The sequence below is a fragment of the Homo sapiens genome, chromosome 4 (assembly GCF_000001405.40).
Source record: "Homo sapiens chromosome 4, GRCh38.p14 Primary Assembly".
In the NCBI taxonomy this organism is placed as follows: domain Eukaryota; kingdom Metazoa; phylum Chordata; class Mammalia; order Primates; family Hominidae; genus Homo; species Homo sapiens.
The window spans coordinates 105,827,546-105,847,953 of NC_000004.12; the positions used below are offsets into that span (position 1 = coordinate 105,827,546).

Below are 20,408 nucleotides of genomic sequence, written 5' to 3' on the forward strand. Positions count from 1 at the left end.
TAATTTGCCTAGGAGAGTAATTGAGATATTGTCACTAGGTAAATTAGACTAAATGCATCAGAGGTTCTAACTCCTGTGTTAAATGTGTTCCAGTATACACACAAAAAAATTTAAAAAATATTGTGGCTAGAGAGGAAAGCAGAATAACCAGATATTGGAAATGCATTAAAACTGCATAAATTCATGGTTTTGTGACATTTCAATAAGGGCTTAGTTAGCATTTATCTTTGCTTAGTAAATGCTTTATTTTTTTCATTTACTATTTTTCTTTAGATATAAAAATTAATAGTATAAACAAGATTTTAATGAAAGAATTTTAAAAGACTTAGAAACAACTAAGTCTTTTTAAATTATTAAATTTTATAATATGTGTATTAATACCCATGCTCTCAAACAATATTACAAATATTTATTTGCAAATAGTATTACATAAAGGGTCATGACTATGGAAAAATGCTCATTTTGCATTAAAAACAAAAACCGTATCAAGGCTAAACAGCCTGCCACCAACATGTTTAGTTGGAAAATTTCAACAATAACAAACAGTCATTTCAACCAGATGATAAGGTACTGATTTCTAACAGTATTGGCGAATCCTTTCTGTTCATCAACATGTATATGAAAATCTCAAAACAGTTTTATTTTCTAGTTATTGGTATTTGCTTTTTGCTATTTTGCCCACAACATAATTTTTAATTATTGTTTATCACTCATAAGTGCTGACTAGTTAATTATAAGCTCATTTCTATTTATGTATGTATGTTAGTGTACAATTAAAAGAAGCATGTGTAATTATAGACTGTAATTCAGTAACATTTTTGATGAGTAATTATATAATCCTTGTTTTAAAAGATAAGGACCTTGAGAAATTATATATTCTGCAGGCACGCTTTTTAAAAATCATTAAGGCAAAATAGGGGACTTCTGAGATGAAAATAGCAGATAGAGGTATTTCAACCCCGCTTCTCCCCAAAAAAGTTCAGATCCCCAAATAACAAGAACAAGAATCAGAAAAATCAAACTCTATGATGAAGCTATATTCAACATTCTGTAACTTGAATCACAATATGAAGTGTGAAGGTGAAAAGCAGATTGAAGAAAAATGATAAGTTATTGAGTAGAGGAGAAGGAAGATAAAATTTAAATGCATGCCAGGCAGAGTGGCAAGAAGGCTATCAGGACACAAACCACTTTGCTCCCACAGAATCCCAGAAAAGTTTGGGAATTCAGAGCATCAGAAACCTCAGAGGAAATGAATAGGGAGGGACTGAAATCGTGTTTAATTAAAAATATTATTTAGAGACAAGATTCCTGCTCTCGTCTTGTGTAAACAAGAAACTACCTCTCCCCAACTCCTAAGAGAGACAGGAAGTTTATTCTGTAGAAGAAACTGAACCAGAGAGGCACCAAGTATAGAGATATCAGGCATAGAGAAGGGCAATGGTGATGTGCCATACCAAGAATAAGAACTAAATGAGAATCTGCATACTGAAGGATAGATCTCTTCCCTACCCATCTGCCTTCTAATTCCAGAACCACAGAAACCAGGATCATTTCCACAATCATGAGAATTAAAAGATTCTTCTCTGTAGAAGCAGAACTGTCCCCAGAGAAAAGAACTACAGATACTACAGCTATAATTAAAAAAAAAAAAAAAAAAAAGAAAGGCACCTATCCAGGCTTTTTGATCACCCAATCACTGGTGAAGCCCACCAGTTTTCAAAGCCTTACTCTTTCATTCAGAATTTCCAATCAACTTTTTAGTGGTTTACTCTTTAATATGAACAGCTAAAGGAATACCAAACATGGAAAACTTCCAAAATGGAAGATAGAGACCTGTATTAGTCTGTTCTCACACTGCTAATAAAGACATACCCAAGACTGGGTAATTTATAAAGAAAAGAGGTTTAATTGATTCACAGTTCCACATGGCTAGGGAGGCCTCACAATCATGGAGGAAGGCGAATGAGGAGCAAAGTCACATCTTACATGGTGGCAGGCAAGAGTGTGTGCAGGGAAACTCCCCTTTATAAAACGATCAGATTTCATGGGACTTATTCACTATCATGAGAACAGCATGGGAAAGACCCACCCCCATCATACAGTTACCTCCCACTGGGTCCCTTCCATGACATGTGGGAAATATGGGAGCTACAATTCAAGATGAGATTTGGGTAGGGACATAGTCAAACCATATCAAGACCAAAGCAACAAACATAATCAAGGGTCTTAGGGAGAGACTAAAGAAGATAATACATTAGTGAAACAAGGATATAATAGAAAAAGAGGGAACGATCAGAGAACAAGAAAGGACGTCTTGAAAAATAAAAATGTTAGCCAAAATTGAAAACAAATTAAAAATTAAGAGATAAAGTATTTTTTTAAAGAAGTATAGGATACCACTTGAAAAAAATAGAACTTAAAAAAAAGAAAAAGAAAAATGAAACTGGAAAGAAGCAAATTTTTTAAATTAGAGATTTAGTCCAGGAATCAAATACCTCAGTAATAGCAGGACCAGAAAAAGAAAACTGGTAAATCGTGGGGAGGAAAACATCAAAGAAAATACAGGAAAATGTGTTAATAATTAAGAATGCATTTCTTTTGATAAAGTTAACTTACAAAATGGCCTAAGCCAAGGCACCTTGTGAAATTTCAGAACACCAAGGGTGAACAGATTTTCCCAACTGTTTCCACAGAGGGAAAAAAAAATAGTGATATACCATAATTTAGAATCAAAATGCTATCACACTTCTTAATAGTAGTGTGGAAGGCTCAGTGACAGTGAAACAATATCTCGAAAATTCTAACAGAAAACTTCTAATCTAAAATTCTATACCTAGCTAATCCATCAGTCTAGTAAAAAAAAGTAAAATAAAGAAAAATTCGACAGTCAAGGTCTCAATAAAATGTACATTGTACATACCCCTTTTCAGCAAGCTACTAGATAATGTGCTTCATTAAAATATAAAGTAAATAAGAAAAAGGATTAAGTGGTATCCAATACAAGAGAAAAATTTTTAGTATCATGGGAGAGGGAAGTCTTAGGGCAAGAGCTGGGCAACAGGCCTAGAAAGCATTGAGTCCATATTTTAGTAAAACGTCAGAAAGCCCAGGAAAGATGTCTCTAGGAAAGAAAAAATGGAGCTGACCAATTATTTGAAAGTTTTCAAACAGTGGAAATTTATATTGTAGAGCATTTTACAGAGCTTTTGGGTAGGGAACAACTTGGATGTTAAAAAAACAAGCAGAAACCCTGATATCCAGCACACTTCCCTCGGCAGTGAACAGTATATACAAAACCATGAGAAAAGATGGAAAAAGGGAAGATAGTGTATAAATGTGCAAAAAAAAGGCCAAAAGCTCTTCTCTCCTAGTAGAAAGATAATAAATAATGTCTAATATTTACAAATCAAGAGATATCAATATACGTTCATCATATAGAAAAACAGATTTTCAGGAAGTAAACCAATGAGTTGAACAGCATTGACTTTGGTACACAGATTTTCTTTCAGTGGTGTGGCAGTGTGTACAAAACAGGGACTTTTAATATAATTGCATACCTTTTAGCATTATTTGAATTTTAAAGCTGATTACCTATAATATTGTTGTATGAAAGTTTTAAAAGAGGGGAAACAAGAGTACACAGGTGGGACTAGCCTGCTTCTCTGTCTAAGGTATCTAGAGTTAAGAATCCTTCTTCGAAAAGCAACACCGGAGAGAATGATTGGGCTGGGGCAAGTTTAGAGATCATTCAGTTCAACCTTCTCCTTTTACAGGTAGAGAATTTGAGGCTACAAGAAAGGAAGAGTGACCTAGCAAGTTAATGTGGGGGCTGGGTCTAGAAGTCCAGTCAGTGACTCTCTGTTTACTTCCATATCTAAAGAAAAGAGTAAATAGAGCATAGAGAACTAAAAAAAGAAGTTTGGTTTGGAGTCAGACACATTGAGATTAAATCTTGGCTCTTTGTTAAAAAAAATATTAACAATTATTTCTCTTACTTGGAGCAATATTGACCAATTTTTGTTTAAGAACTCTTTGCTTGTTTTTGTTTGTGTGTTCACATCTCTTGCTCATTTTACTCTCACTTTATTGGGCTTTTTCTTTCTTTTTAGAAGTTTGTTATATATTAAGAATATAAGCCTTTTGTTTGTGCTGTAAGTTGTCAATCCTTTCCCTACTTTGTCATTTGTCTTTTTACTTATGGTTTGGTTTTCTGCCAGTCTCTACTGAAAATACAAAAATTAGCTGGGTGTGGTGGTGGGCAGCTGTAATCCCAGCTACTTGGGAGGCTGAGGCAGGAGAATTGCTTGAACCCTGGAGGCAGAGGTTGCAGGGAGTCGAGATCACACCGTTGCACTCCACCCTGGGTGACAAGAGCGAAACTGCATCTCAAAAATAAATAAATAAATAAAAATAAATTTTATTTTGTCAGATTTATTAACCTTACCCCTTATTGCACGTAGATTTTTAGCTTAGTTAGGAATTACTTCCCATTCCCCTTGGTTGTGCAGGAATTTACTCATATTTATTGCATTTTAAATCTCTAATGCATTCAAAATTTATTTCCTATGTGTGATGAGAGGAAAAGATCTAATTTTTATTTTTTTATATGGCTGTCTGGTTAACCAAACATTACTTATTAAAAAGTCCATCTTTTCTCCCTGGTTTGAAATACCACCTTTATTGTATGATAAATTTCCATATCCAATGGTTTTTTTTTGGTCTATATCTCTCATTATTTGCCTGTTATTTCTGAGTTTCATTTGATAACAGTGAAAACTAGGAGCATGTGATGCAGTAAAACCTTTTCGACCAAAAACCTATTATTAGTAGACAATTATTACATTATCTATAAACTATTGTATAGTTATTCAAGTTACTTATTTCATTTAAATGAAGGAAATAAACTCACTTTTTTGCATGTAGTGTAAGGAATGTGAACCTAAGTAAAGAGAGACTTATAAAAGTAAATTTTCTAAACTCTTTTTTGCTCAGAGCCTGAAGAGGGTTTTGTAGAGAAGCCGCCTGATACATGGGGTCAGGCTTTGAGGTCAGCATCCTGCCCCTCAGTAGCTGTTTTGTTGTGGGCAAGTTCTTAATTTCCCAAGACTTCATTTCCTCGCATCTAAATTGGAGATAATAAAGTCTTTCAGGGATGTTGTGAGCATAGTTCTGAGTGCCATCACCCAGCACAGCATAGTGCCAGCACATAAACACTCAGTAAATGTCAGTTTGCTTTCCCTCCAGGGGAAGATGTGTCTATAATTTTTACTATGAAATTTTCTCCAACTAGTCATGAAAATAAGGATTAGCCTGTTTTTTACTCTGAAAAGCTGACTAAAAGAAGCAGATGAGAAATCAAGGTTATTTACTTTCCCATTCCCTGTAGTTGTTGCTGCCTTTACTGGATACCAGCCTTCCTAGGCTGTTTTCAGAGTGAAACAAGAAAGGTGGGATGACAGCAACATGGAGATTGTTGACTTCTATGTGGCTCATGTAAGTCTAGAAGGAGGAGGAGGAATTCAGGAGGAGGATTAAGAACAGAGATCTTGCTTTCCTCTTCCTGATAGAGTATTGTTTGTATTGTTTTTAGCTTTCCAGTTCAAAGGGGGCATCTGGTTTATAATATTTTACTTTCGCTGGGCGCGGTGGCTCATGCCTGTAATCCCAGCACTTTGGGAGGCCGAGGTGGGCGGATCACCTGCGGTCGGGAGTTGGAGACCAGCCTGACCAACATGGTGAAACCCCATCTCTACTAAAAATACAAAAGTATGCAGGCGTGGTGGCACATGCTGTAATCCCAGCTACTCGGGAGGCTGAGGCAGAAGAATTGCTTGAACCCGGGAGGCGGAGGTTGCAGTGAGCCGAGGTTGTGCCATTGCACTCCAGCCTGGGCAACAAGAGCAAAACTCTGTCTCAAAAAAAAAAAAAAGTTTCTAAAATTTACAGAAAATCTCCTCTTTACCCTGAGAGCCCCTCCCTACCCTGAAGTTGGTGAGGGAAGATTATAATTCATTACAATTTATGTTTGTTCAGAATGAAATGGAGATGTGAGGGGTTTTTTTGGTGTTTTTTGTCAAAATCCAGTACAGGTTATTCATCTTTTAGAATCCCCACATCTGATTTTCACTGAGAGTCCTATTTAGGCTTTATTTGGCCTAAGAATTTTCATAATTATCTCATTTGTAGTAAGATTATAGTAAGTATAGATATACTTAAGGATATGTGTTTTAAAAACACTTAAAAATCGTTTTGAGTTATTTTTATGAGTTATTGAAGCCCCACTCAGTATTCTAATTCATAATTTCATTCAATCCTTTTAAAATAAACTCATTGAAAATAGTTCCTGTAACTCATCATTCAATGTTAAGGATTGTTATTATGTGAAAACATCTTAAAAGGGTACTACATGATATGATTCAGTTAGTTTTAATACAGCCCTGATTAGATTATGTTAATATGGCATTTGAGGAAGTGTTTTCAAATACATTTTTATTTAATTTTTGCAACAGCATTGTGACATGTCATATTGTTAACCATCATTTATAGTTGAAGAGATTAAGGCCCAAAGAAGCTAAATTTTAAGTGGCTCAGGGTTATATAGGCAACCAGAGTAATAGACTCGAAATTCTTGTTTCGAATCTAGTGTTCCTGGAACGATGCTATAGTTTAGATAAACACTTGTGTTAATTTTTCCACACTAAAATTGCATCAAATTTTCCGTTGAATGAATCTTATGCTTTATTTGCAATATTCCATTTGCAACCTTTCAAACTTGCTTAGTTTTCATAATTAATTGATATGTGTAGCTAAGTGGTCCTTTGGTATGGCCAAATGAGAACTATTTAAAAGGCATAAAAATTGCACTGTGAGTTAAGAGGGAACTTAGTGCTAAGGCCTGGTTTTATTTTGTAGGTAGCATTGCATGCTTGTGGAGTGGCAACAGACATGGTGATTGAGCACTGTATCAAAACACGGGCTTCCTTCGTCACATGCCCTTGCTGTTATGGTTTCATTCAGAACACCTCAAAGTTCAATTTTCCAAAAAGGTGAGAAATTCAGTGTTCTACATAAGACACCAACATGGGTATAAGCCAGGACACAAAACTTGTTTGATATAAAGTTGCAATGACTTAATTTTTGGCTCATTTCTTCTTTCCACAATGCCAAATATTGTTTGTAAATTGTATAAGGAAGAGAAGAACTCCTTTATGTTTGTCCCTGATTTTTCCCCTGGATCCAGTTTTTACTGAAATTTAGAAGCAAGGCTATCCAGGAGACAGGCAACTAGAAGTCTATTGGCTTTAGCACTTCTCTCTGTATTTCCGAATAAATTTAAAACTGTAACCGTACATAATGTCTATGAGAGGCAGTCAAGTATAGTAAAGTGTTTAGGACCTGGAAGTATAGTGCCTGGGGGAAAATACTAGCTCCTTATCATTTTATAAGGCAAATTACTTAAAATCTTTTTGCCTTAGTTTTCTTGTCTACAAAATGAGGGTTATGATAATAACTACCTCAAGGTTTTTGTGAAAATTTAATGATATGTGTAAAGCCTTTAGAAGTGGCAAGAATAAGTATTCAATAAATGTGAACTGTTGCTAATAATGGTAGCAATGTCACAGGATCCTTGGGGCGTCGCTTTGCCAGCTGGATCCTCTGTGGTTGGTGGAGCGTTTGCCTGAGTTTTGCTTGGGCCCATTGGGCTCACTCCACTCACTCAGCCTGGCAGGCTGCTTTTGGCTTGCACTACCAGCACAGATCCCACACCTGCCAAGGGTGAGCCAGGTACAGAGTGGTGAGGGGTACATGAATGAGCAAGCACAGGGTCCGGCCACTTCACACAGCCAGGCATGCTGGCTGCTGTGGGGCAGGCATCTCCAGGCACCAGCTTGGGTGCTGGCTCCCTGCGAGGCTGCAGCTGGACCAGGTGTACTGCAAGCAGCTTCCACTGTGAGCACTAGGGAACACAGTGGCAACCAGAAGCTTGGAAACGCCAGGAGCCACAGAACCCCTCAGAGGGTATCACAGCCCTGGCTCAGGGAGCTCCTATGACTGGGCTCCCTGAAGGGCCGCATCTCTTCTCTCCTTCTCTCTTCTCTCCTTCTCATGCTTGCAACATGGCGAGTGGGTGTATTTGGGGGCAGGGGGGCATGTGAGCCCTGTTTGTGTTATAACTCTTAGTCCTGCCATTTGGCAGGTCCTGAGTTCTTGTCCCAAATCGAGGAAGAATGAGGTACACAGACAATTGGAGGATGAGCAAGGCAAAGAGGTGCTTTATTGAGCAACAGTACAGCTCTCAGGAGATAAAGTGGGTAGCTCCTCTCCACAGACAGTCATCCCAATGTCTGCTCAGCTCTCAGCCGAGAGGAGACCCACAGAGGGTAGCTTCTCTCCATAGGCAGGTCATCCCAATGTCTACTCAGCTCTCAGGTGGAAGGAGACCCGCAGTGGGTAGCTGCTGTCTTCAGGCAGGTCATCTCATCTCATCTCATCTCTGCAACCCTCAGCAGAGAAGAGATCCAGAGTGGGTAGCTTCTTTCCGCAGGCAGGTCATCCCAATATCTACTCAGCTCTCAGGTGGAAGGAGACCTGCAGTGGGTAGCTGCTGTCTTCAGGCAGGTCATCTCATCTCATCTCATCTCTGCAACCCTCAGCAAAGAAGAGATACAGAGTGGGTAGCTTCTCTCCGCAGGCAGGTCATCCATTGTCTGCCTAAGTCTGGCAGAGTCCGGGGTTTTTATGGACTCCAGAGGGAAGGAAGTGCATGCGATTGGTCCATGGGTGGCCATGGGTGGGCCTGGAAAAAGCACTCTAAGTTCTCACTTTGGTCCACGGAGCTGGCAGCCTGGACCCCAAGCTTCGGGCCATTTCTGGGTTGATGGTGGGGCTTCACCAGGGACCTGCCCCTTTCTACCTAGGAGCCTGTCTGCCTCCTGTTGCCATCAACCTGCCATCCATGGTGCCCATGGCACCCAGGCTGTTTGTGCCAAGGGGTGCCTGCAGGCCCATGTCAAGCTGCCCTCAGTACCCCCTTGGTGTCCATCTCATGCTCGTCAGTGCCCAAAGTCCAGAGGGGGCTGAGGCGGGGGTGGGGGCTGGCATGTCAGCACCACCTTGAGTGCACACACAGCTGGCCAGGTCACCACAGTGCCTGGGCTCAGCCTCAACTTTTGGTGGCCTTTACAGTATGTTACTACCACTTCCTGTCTTTTTCACACCTATGTAGATTTACTGACATTTGTCCTCCCTTGTCCTTTGAACTGATATCTTTAGAAAGTTTCTTTGTGAATAAGACCTATCTCAATCACCAAAAATACAGTTGGGAATTTATAAATAGCATACTGTTTCTATAGTACGTGGAAAGAAGTACTCTTTTCAAACAAACTAATTGGCACTAATAAATTTAGTATCAAATGTATAAGTCAATGTTTTTGAATGACTTAAGAGTGAAGGTTATAGCATTAATAAAAGACAATGTTTATGGAATTGAATGTATGTTTATCTTTATTAGCTGTGACAACAGTGATTTCCTGATGTATTAATCATGCCTTTTTAAATTTTCTGATGTTTTACTATTTGCTAATCCTGGAGAGACTGTTCCTCCCAGGGCTAGCCAATTCCTAGAGATAGTAAAGGTCTTATCAACAAACATACCTTGCATAAGTAAACTCACCAACCCAGAGCCCTTATCCCACAACTACCTCCTTTATCAAGCTCTTATTACTTCCAGGCCACTATCCCCCTGCCCTACTACCCTAGGGCCAGATATCAAACAAGTAGGAACGGCCCTATGCCTGAGTTCACTGAAATTATTCAAACTAGCCACTCCCAAGCCTGCTTACCTCACCTTTTTCTTCCCATGGAAACCGCCTCCTGACCTATACTGGTGTTTCCCCATGTGGCCCTTCATCACATGGCATGCCCCCTCTTCTTGGGGAACTGTGAGTAATAAAGTATCTTTTCAATGGCAGTCCTCTCCTGATCTGTTGGCTGTGCACATCTGAATAACAGTAAAACCCACATGTTAAAACACCTGGATCTTAGTGTTCCCATGAGGGATAGAGACAAAAAAGGTGCTTCTCTAACAGTGTAAACAATCTGTGGAATAGATTTCTTAAAATTAATAACATATTGATGATATGCTTTTCTGTCTTTTTATAAAAGCATTTCAAACTGGCATAGTTTTTACTTCACCATAGCATTTTATGCTTTCTACATACAAAGCATATTTTTATATAATTTAGTTTCTTCAAGATTATCTTACTCTTAATATTTAGAATGATGACTAATTCCTTTTTTTTCTATTTCAGTGAACAATTCAAGAAAACTTTATCATACAAGGTAACCTTAAAAAGATCTAGATATCATCCTAATACACTTTTTATCCTTTATATTTTTCCCTCTCATATTTCTAGTGGAGTAAATAATCTATAGTTATAATTGAATAACTCATGAATGTCTAATATGGGTTTCTTTTTCTCTTTCTTTTGCAAATCCAGATTAACTCTTCAAGTAGGTAACAAGATTTGTGAAGGGTCTGAGATTTTAACTCTACTTGCAGTCTAACAAGTTAGCCTGCCCAGTGGATGCTGGCAGAAGATATGAGACCCCTAAGTCAGAGACAAAAGACAGTTTGTTGCTCATGGCAATAGTGGTAGCCACAATACCATTGTTTTCACACTGACTCTCTATGGCCCAATTCCCACAGGGCAGAAGCAAATGGGCCAGGTAACACCTGCCCTTTTGTTCCAGAGGGAGAAACTATATATTTTCCAAGGCTGTTTACTCTGTAAACGTGCTTGAAAAGATAATCTATAACAGAGGAAAATTCTTTTGTAAAAGGTCAGATAGTAAATATTTTAGGCTATGCTGGCCATAACAAATCTCCAAGTATTCCTCTCATTGTCCTTGACATTCTTATTGTTTTTGTTGTTGGTTTACAACTCTTTAAATATATAAAAACTTTCTTAATTCACAAGCCACACAAAAACTGGTCATAGGCTAGACTTGGCCTGTGGGCCAAACCTTGCTGACCATTGGTCTGGAACAAAGACAGTCAGTGTCTCTGCTTGTAAAACATGAAGAAACACAAGAGACCCACAGAGAATTGTCTTCCAAAAGTAGTCAGAACATACATAGTTTTTAGTCACCAATCTGATCAAAACAGTTTCTAGCTTCCTAAACATCACCACTATCCAATTAACTGGTCAATAGCATGATATAATACAATTTAAGAAATGATAATATTTGAGAAAAATATATAAATAATTCCATTAGAAGTTGACAAATTCATTTGGATTCTTAGTTAATGCCACTTTTTGCACAGACTCACTAAAAACATAGTCTCCTTTTATATACCAGCCCCTATATTTTAGGACTTTTACTTTCTCTTCCATCAAACAGTTGAAATATAGTGAGGTATAGTGACCTAAAAATGTTCATTGTTACCACATCAGCAGCTGTATCTCCTTCATTCCTGCTTTATAACTCAAATGCCCACTTCCAGCTCTGTCTCTTACCACCTTATGTGCTACTCACACCTTCCCCTCTTCCTACCAACCCCGCACCCTGTACAAATATGCACAGATATGGAAAGGGGAGAACTTTTAGTGTTCATGCTTTCAGCCAAAACCACAACATTGCTGGCCTTCACCTACTAGATTAAAAGTTTACATATTTTAGGAAACTGTATGATTTTGGAAGAAACATTAGGACCCAAGAAACTTTATTTGCATAACATTCAAAACATCTCACCTTTCTTTCACAAGGCTATGTCAATAAAGTAGAAAATAAATTGAGAAAACAGCCCAGGTGCAGTGGCTCACGCCTGTAAACCCAGCACTTTGGGAGGCCAAGGCAGGCAGATCACTTGAGAACAGAGTTCAAGACCAGCCTGACCAACATGGTGAAACCCTGTTTCTACTAAAAATACAAAAATTAGCTGGGTGTGGTGACACACACCTGTAATCTCAATTACTCAGGAGGCTGAAGCACGAGAATTGATTGAGATCAGGAGGCAGAGGTTGCAGTGAGCTGAGATTGTGCCATTGCATTCCCATTTCAGCCCGGGTGAGAGAGTGATACTCTGTCTCAAGAAAAGAGAGAGAGAGAGAGGAGAGAAGAAAGAGAGGAGAAGAAAAGAAAGGAAAAGGAAAGAAAAGAAAAAAGAACTTGGGAAAACAAAAACTAGACCCCTGTTTCTAATCCCTCCTTTGAGTGATGCTAGTTAAACCAAACAATGAAAGGATGTATGGAAAAAATCAAGGGTGGTGAAGAGATAGGCTGCCCATGGTCTCCTGGCTAGAAAAGAATGTAAAATTTCTACAGTAGGGACAGGGCACACAGAGTCTTTCAGAAAGCAGAAACTCCCCAGTACACCAGTCATAACCTTTATCTACTCTTTCTCCAACACCCCCAAAAGCTGCTTGGCCTTTTGAAGGCCTCAGAACTTTGTGCCAAAGTATCTTGAGACTCACTTTGGAAGTGTTTTTCTCTGCAGTTCAATTTAGACAGCAACCTTTACTGAGTACCTACCATGTGCCTTGCCCTTTCAGAACTTGATTTTGACCAAAGAGAACATACACACAAATAATTCCAATAAAATATGGTGAGACTTATCAGTACAAGAGAACTGAATCTTACCTGAGATTGCGATTGCCTTGACATTACCATTATATAAAATGAATCTTAATTTACAAACACCATGAGGACAAAGTGCACACTGTTTCTTCAAATCATGTAATTCTAAATTTTCCTTCTCTCCTTTCGTTGATGCCTGTTAGTTTGTGGGGAGTTAAAGTTATTCATTGAAACCATTTTATTAGTTTCTCACCCATTGTCATGAAATTTTATAGTGAGCATTAAAATGTTTTTTTTAAGCATACAAGTTTAGACAAAGATATCCCTTTTAAAAAACCAACATTGCCACAATCATTTCACTTATTAAAAATGGAGGCTTCAAATTTAATGTACAGAATACTAAAGGAACAAATGATGAATCTGAATTTAACCTGTTTGCTAAGCTGACAGGTGAGATTATGTACACACTTAGAAACAACAGCTGTTCTGAATGAACAGTTGTCGTGGGATCATTGCTTCATTTCAACTCTGCCTAATCACTCACTTTTGGCTACATGCAGATTTAAGAGTACTGTGCAAAATCATCAACTCTGCTTTTAAAGCCTTCTTTTCTTTTTCATTAATGCACTCTTTTCTAAGACTGTTAAGCAGAAGTAATAATCAGGTCCTTACCTCAGGCCGTCTTTACAGTTTGTCTTAAGGCAGAAAGGGATACACTTCCTGCAGCCTTTTGGAGTGAGAGAAAGAAATCAAGCTTCTTTCCTCTAAAAGGACTAAGTGAAGGGAAGAGTCAGGAAAAGCCAAGAACTAGCTACCACCCTGCTGGATATCCCAGAAAACTACAGAAGCCACACAGTGATCTGCATTGCTTCCTTTTCCTCTGATAGAATGAAAAGCCACTTAGCAGGCCAGGCACGGTACCTCATGCCTGTAATCCCAGCACTTTGGGAGGCAGAGGCGGGCAGATCACAAGGTCAGGAGTTCGAAACCAGCCTGGCCAACATGGTGAAACCCTGTCTCTACTAAAAAAAATAAATAAATACAAAAATTAGCCAGCATGGTGGCGTGCGCCTGTAGTGCCAGCTACTCAGGAGGCTAGGGCAGGAGTATTGCTTGAACCCAGGAGGCGGAGGTTGCAGTGAGCCGAGATTGTGCCACTGCACTGGAGCCTGGACAACAGAGCAAAACTCCGTCTCAAAAAAAAAAAAGAAAGAAAAGAAAACCCACTTAGCAAGACTGCCTAGAACCACATTCCAGAGTTTCAAATACATTTTATAAAAGAAAAATATAAGTGAATTTTTGGTCTTTTAATTTAACACATAATAGCAAAATGTAACCATATTTTTATATTTCAGCTAAAAGCAACTGGGCAAAATGACCCCGAGGATTTTCTGTGCATCTATTCTTAAGAGCTACATCTGGGCCAGCTGGGCATGGTGGCTCATACCTGTTAATCACAGGACTTTGGAAGGCTGAGGTGGGCAGATCACCTAAGGCCAGGAGTCCGAGACCAGCCTGGCCAACATGGTGAAACCCCGTTTCTATTGAAAAAAAAATACAAAAAATACAAAAAATTAGCCAGATGTGGTGGCATGTGCCTGTAGTCCCAACTACACGGAGGCTGAGGCATGAGAATCACTGGGAGTCTGGGAGACGAAGGTTGCAGTGAGCCAAGATTGCGCCACTGCACTCCAGCCTGGGCGACGGCGAGACTGTCTCAAAACAAAACAAAAAAATACAGTGTACTTGAAGGGAAGAAATTATTAAGTACCATCTTCTGAAAGTTTACTTTTTTCAAAAATACTATTTGTGCAGTACTTTATTCAGTTAAACAATGTTGAACTCCAGAAAAATGAGGTAGTTTTTTTGGTGGTTGTTTTTATAACTTTGAAGCAGAAGATAAAAATAAACCCACATTCTATTGCTTTTTCTTTTAGGAACACATGATTCTGTGCAGATTTGCAGACCAGACAGCTGTCCAGCTCCCACCCCAACGAAGGCTCATAGGTATGTGTTTTCACAGAGCAGCTGTTGAGTGTATTATGCACAATATGACTGGGAATGATTGGACCAAGTCTATATGGGAAAAATTTAGCAACATGAAGTCTATTTTTCAATGAGAAACTAAATATGTTCTTCCCAAAAAAACTTAATTCATATTGAAAAGGGTATTGTAACTATAACATTTTATCCTATTTTGGTTAACTTTAATACTTTTAAATGTATTTTGAATGTTTGTACATTGAGTAGAATTCTTACATTAAATCTCTTACTGTTATGAACAAACTGCAAGATCTATCAAAAGCCATAAAAGAAAATAATAAAGATTAAAAAGTCAACTATATATACCAAAATTGATGCATTATAAAATGTATACACAGGGATGATAATGTTTTCTTTCTCAGGAAAAAGGATACTTGTGTATTATTTATCATAGATGAATTTGTTTGACAATATTAAATATTACCTAAATTGGAAGACCACAGAAACATTTCAAGTTTAATAAGTAATTGATTTATTGAAGACATCACTTTAGAAAAAACAATCACATTTAAAAGAATAATAGCAGTTAATAGTTATACATTTAAGCACTGAGCTAAATGCTCTTGACTGTTATCTTGGTAAATTCTTACAAATATACATATGGGGTAGGTACTATTATTTACATTTTAATGATAAGAAAACTGAGACAAAAGCTTTCCTGGGGTCCCTCATCTGGTAGATGATGGAGCTATACTATGAACCCAACTTATTTGATTCTGGACATGAAGTTCTTGTCCACCTTAGTTACTGCTTCCCAGCATACTGGTGTCATATCAGGGTTTAAGATAAGTGGGTTCAGTCAAAACTAATCTTAAAATTATTCAGAGAAACCCAACATTGGACACCATTATATTTTTTCTCTAAATTTACAATGTAGCCCCTTTTCCTCCATGATATACTAGAAAACAGATTGTTGTTTCTTTGGCTGAGCACCAGATGAAGCTGTTAGCTTACATTCAGAGACCAAGTCGTATGAGAAATCCTTATCTTTAAACTCTAAAATCAAAGGCAGCATAGCAAGATGCTCACACTTGGAGACCTGAGACCTGAGACTCAAGGAGTAAGTGATTCCTTCTCTTTCTCACTCTCTGCAGCATAAACATTTGGAAAGAACTCATTCTCTCTTGCCTGCAACCTCTTTGTCTTTCAATGCCTTTCCTTCTTGCTCCTCCTTTTCCCATCTCCAACACTTTGAATTAATCAAATACACATTTGATGAGACTCCACTCACTAGACCCATGTCTTAGTCTGTTTTGCACTGCTATAACACAATACCATAGACTGGGTAATTCATAATGAACAAATTTTTATTTGGCTCACATTTCTGAAGGCTAGGAAGTCCAAGATCAAGGGGCTGGCATCTGGTGAGGGTCTTCTTCCTGCATCATAACATGATGAAAGGCATCACATGGCAAGAGAGAGAGCAAGAGAAGGCTGAACTTGTCCTTTTATAAGGAACCCACACTCTAGATAATGAACCCACTACCATGATAATGGTATTAATTCATTCACTCCACCCTCTTGGCCTAATGACCTCACATTAGGCCCCACTTCCTAACACTGTTGCATTGCAGATTCAGTTTCCAACACATGCTTTCTGGAGGACACATTCAAATGATAGCAATCCAATGAAGACATAATTAGTATGGTGGATGGATGGGTACATGGTAGATGTGTGTTTTAGGTATCAAACTAAAGGGGAGTATCTGGCAGGGAAGTTGCTAGAGTGGTGGGGGTGGGGGTGGGCATTTGGCAATGGGAAGAACGGGGGGAATCACATTGAGAGAAAGCTGTCACGTCTACATCTCTGCTTTACACAGGCCATTCCTCCCCAGGCCCACAAAGGTAGACTATCAGCAGCTAAATTTCAGTTGTAGAGACACTTCAACATGTGAAAACATGAAATTCTTCTACATAATGGAAAAGGAAAAATTAACTGGACTGGGATCAAAGCCAAGGGTAGATGAGCTCAATGTAAACCCTGGGTGGGTACTTAAGGAATGTAGAGCATCCCATTCTGACACAGAATGTTTCATTTTAAGCTAAAAAGTAGATGGGAGAAACATTTACAGATGTCTTAAAGGAAAGACAATATTTTAAGGGAAAAAAAAGAATGTCGGCCATAAGGCTGTTAATGAAGAAGGGATGATTTTGCCTAAATGGAATTCTGGACATCTCTTTTTATATCATTTCTAACCCAGTTTATTCTTTGTGGGATGGGCTCTTTTAAGGAAAATGTACAAAATAAACATTTTAAATGTGAGTCTCTCATTGCTAATTCTTACCTACTGATTTCACCTTCCACTGTTTTTTTCTGTGAGGATTCTGTTGTTCATAGAACTTTTCTATTTTGGTGATCTGTCTTCATTTCTGAAGTTGTTTTAGTTTATCAGTTTCCACTGTCATTCAATGTTTAGCCATTATTATAATTGTTTAGGAAAAATATAATGAAGTTCTGCATAGTCAGTAATCTTTTTCCAGGGGGTTGAAGAAGCTTATATATTGAATTTAAAGCAATTGAAAGTATAAAAGTAAATCATGGCTTTGAATATATTCAGCCCCAAATCATTTTTCCCAAGCTACTTTTGAAGTTTGTGTTTGCCAAAGGAAAACAAATTAACTGCTTTTCTTGCCAGTCAGGTTTCCTTTTTTGTCTTCCAAAGATTGTAAATGAAATACAATACCACTATTTTGTAGAGGGACAGGAGCTCAGAAAATTAAGAGTATACTACACTCAACATTACATTTCCACCTGAAATAAAAGGCATGTAATTGAGAATTTTCTTAAATATTTTTCATTTCTCACTTCTTCATAGCCCTAAAAAACTTCAGCTGGAAAAGCTAATGTCTTTCAGACACCACTTAATCAGCATGTTATTTTAAATATTCTTAAAGACAAATTTTTTTTCCACATTACAGATAATCTAGTTTTATAGGGAAAGCAGAGAAAAGGTCTTTAAATGTATTTTTAACCAAAGTAGGAAATACAGTCTGAGGCTCTAATTTGAGATTTGCTTATAAATACATCTGAAAAGGTTAACATTCTTTAAATTATTAGCAGAGGCAAATATATGAAGTGCCATGTTTTTGTCACCATCATCTTTCCACATTGATCAAGAAGTAAATTGAAAGAAACTAAACAAGACTTAGGGGTACAAAGCATGCTCCATAGTACTTGCAGATTTTGTCACTATATAGATTCCCTTAAACAAACTGAAACTGTCCTGCTAGTGAAAGGGTGTCTCATGATACCATTTGACTGTGTTTCAGGAAAACAGTGCATGTGCTTGGTGGATCTGGATCGAGCAAGAGCTGCAGAAGAATGTGGATACTCCGTTCAAGTGATATCCATGGAGCCAGAGAGCTGCTCTCCCAAAAATAACATGATTGTGGGAGTCCCCATTTAAAATGAGATATTCACATTTGATATTTTGCCATCCGTCTTCACGTTGGATGCCCAGTGGCATTCAGGAGGTTCTTGGCATAACTAGGAAACAGCATTAGCCATCTTGAACCTATTGTGCTCAGGAAGGAAAGCAACAGGGAAATCTTGGAAGTAAAGGCTCCCTGCAAAGCATCACAAATGCTTTACAATGTGTGATTAAAGGACTGCTGGTTTTTATAGTGAGAATCCCCTGAAGTCTCAGCTGCCAAAAGAATAATACTAGTGGAGGTTCCATCACAGGAATAACAATTTCCTTCTCACTTCACAAGCTCCTCTGATCTTGCCAATGTGATGTTTAATTCAAAACAGCGCACTTACAGCCTTTATTTTATACTTATTTAGATATTCACATGGGAACTGAAAGTAGACTCAGTGGAGTTTTTTGTTTTTTATATTTTTAACAATTGTACTTTTTCTATCACTTTAAAAAAATCTAGTCAGGTAATTATAGTACAGTTATTTTTAAGCTGGGGTTAGTTGAACTTGTATAGCATTTAATATACTCCTTTTAAATATATTTCTGCCAGGCATGGTGGCTCATGCCTATAATCCCAGCACTTTGAGAGGCCAAGGTGGGAGGATCATTTGAGCCCAGGATATCGAGACCAGCCTGCACTACAAAAAAATCCAAAAAATGAGGTGGGAGGATCACTTGAGCCCAGGAAGTCAAGGCTGCAGTGAGCCTTGATAGCGCCACTGCACTCCTGCCTGGGAAAATGAGACCCAGACTCAAAATAAATCAATGAATGAATTAATAAACAAATAAATAAATAAATAAATTTCCCATAAATTACCAAATGAGATTGTCACTGGTTCAAATTATTAAATAATTGCCATAAATTTCCTATTACGGGAATGTGGAATTTGGACATACATTTTAACAATAAGTACATTGATTAATACATTTAAGTTTATAAGTAATTATTGAGGATCCAGTATTTTCAAGACCTTGGCCTAGTTTCTTTTCAATTCAAAGATGAGTTGCAAAAGACATAATGTTTTGCCTATGGAAGTAGATCATCTAGAAGAAAAAGATTAAAGAATTAGTTAAGCTTTTTTTTTTTTTTTTTTTTGAGACAGAGTTTCACTCTTGTTGCCCAGGCTGGAATTCAGTGGCTCGATCTTGGCTCACCACAACCTCTGCATTCTCCTGCCTCAGCCTCCCGAGTAGCTAGGATTATAGGCACCTGCCACCATGCCCGGCTAATTTTGTTTGTAATTTTAGTAGAGATGGGGTTTCTCCATGTTGGCCAGGCTGGTTTCGAACTCCTGACCTCAGGTGATCTACCCGCCTCAGCCTCCCAAAGTGCTGAAATTACAGGCGTGAGCCACCTCACCTGGCCATGTTCTTTATGGAATACTACAATGTGTTGTCACAGGATTTGTTATTCAGATGTCAATCATTTTTATTTATATATTTCTGGGTAAAACTTATTAGTGGTGTGAGGAGTGCAGAATATGGAAGCTTACCTAAATTCTTTTTCTGCCAGCCAACATTTTAAAAGACAAATGATGCATCCTTTCTCAATGCTGCTAATTCTTTAAATTTTACATGTCCCAATTTATTCCATTTGAGATTTATTTTAATGTTTTCAACCCCTGTGTAACATGTATCATGAGGAGAAAGCACTATCATTGATCATCACTATGGATTAAAATATAGGAATATTTTACAGGGCAGTATGGGTGGGGGTGGGAGACATATTGGAATCGTGTTTTCTGGGATAAAATTTTTAAAAAGAATTAATCATTAGCCCTGAGTATTTTAGTCATTTGTGCCTATAGAAAACAACATGCTCTTTTATTGTGGACTTTCTTCTTTTAAGTGAGGTTTAATTTATATACAATACAATAACAGATTTTTAAGTATTCATTTGAGATGTTTTGACAACTGTATATATACATGTAACCATCACTGGAATCAGATATAGAATATTCCCCTTAAATATTGTCAGGTAAACACATTGAGAATATTTTTTCCAGTCTGTGGCTTACCTACTTATTTTCATAATGAATGTTTTACTTGTGATGAAGATTTAACTTACCCTTTTACTTTAATGATTAATATTTTCTGTGTTCTTTCTAATAAATTTTACGAACTCTGAGGTTATAAGATTTCTCCTAAGATTTTTTTTGTAGAAACTTTATGATCCTAGCTTATTACATTTAGGTCTATGATCGATCTCAAATCAAACTCACATATAAAGGCAGGTAGGTTTTGAGGAATATATAGTTGTTTCAGCATCATTAAATAAAAATCCCTTCCTCTCTTCATTGAACTGCCTTGGCACCTCAGTTGAAAATCAGTTCATCTATATGTATGGTTCTATTTCTGAAT

General features: G+C 37.8%; 1 protein-coding gene and 1 long non-coding RNA gene across 9 annotated transcripts in view; one reads left to right on the top strand and one right to left on the bottom strand.

Annotated features, from left to right (window-relative positions):
* Positions 1-20,180, top strand: part of GSTCD (glutathione S-transferase C-terminal domain containing) — a 138,942-nt gene extending 118,762 nt beyond the window's left edge. For 7 of the 8 annotated variants that reach the window (XM_011532252.4, XM_047416179.1, NM_001370181.1 and 4 more), the window contains exons 9-12: positions 6,916-7,049; positions 10,314-10,344; positions 14,520-14,589; positions 17,896-20,180. In XM_011532252.4, the coding sequence (XP_011530554.1) occupies positions 6,916-7,049; positions 10,314-10,344; positions 14,520-14,589; positions 17,896-18,032 (372 nt within the window). In that variant the 3' untranslated portion in view covers positions 18,033-20,180. Of the gene's footprint in view, positions 1-5,389; positions 5,497-6,915; positions 7,050-10,313; positions 10,345-14,519; positions 14,590-17,895 lie in introns of those variants that run through there. The other variant, XR_938771.2, reaches the window with a different exon arrangement.
* On the bottom strand, positions 8,249-14,075 carry LOC124900749 (uncharacterized). Its single transcript, XR_007058216.1, has 2 exons — positions 9,851-14,075; positions 8,249-8,644 (listed from the first exon to the last, which is right to left on the bottom strand). It is a non-coding gene; the product is annotated as an uncharacterized LOC124900749 (long non-coding RNA).
* Positions 20,181-20,408: the final 228 nt, after the last annotated feature.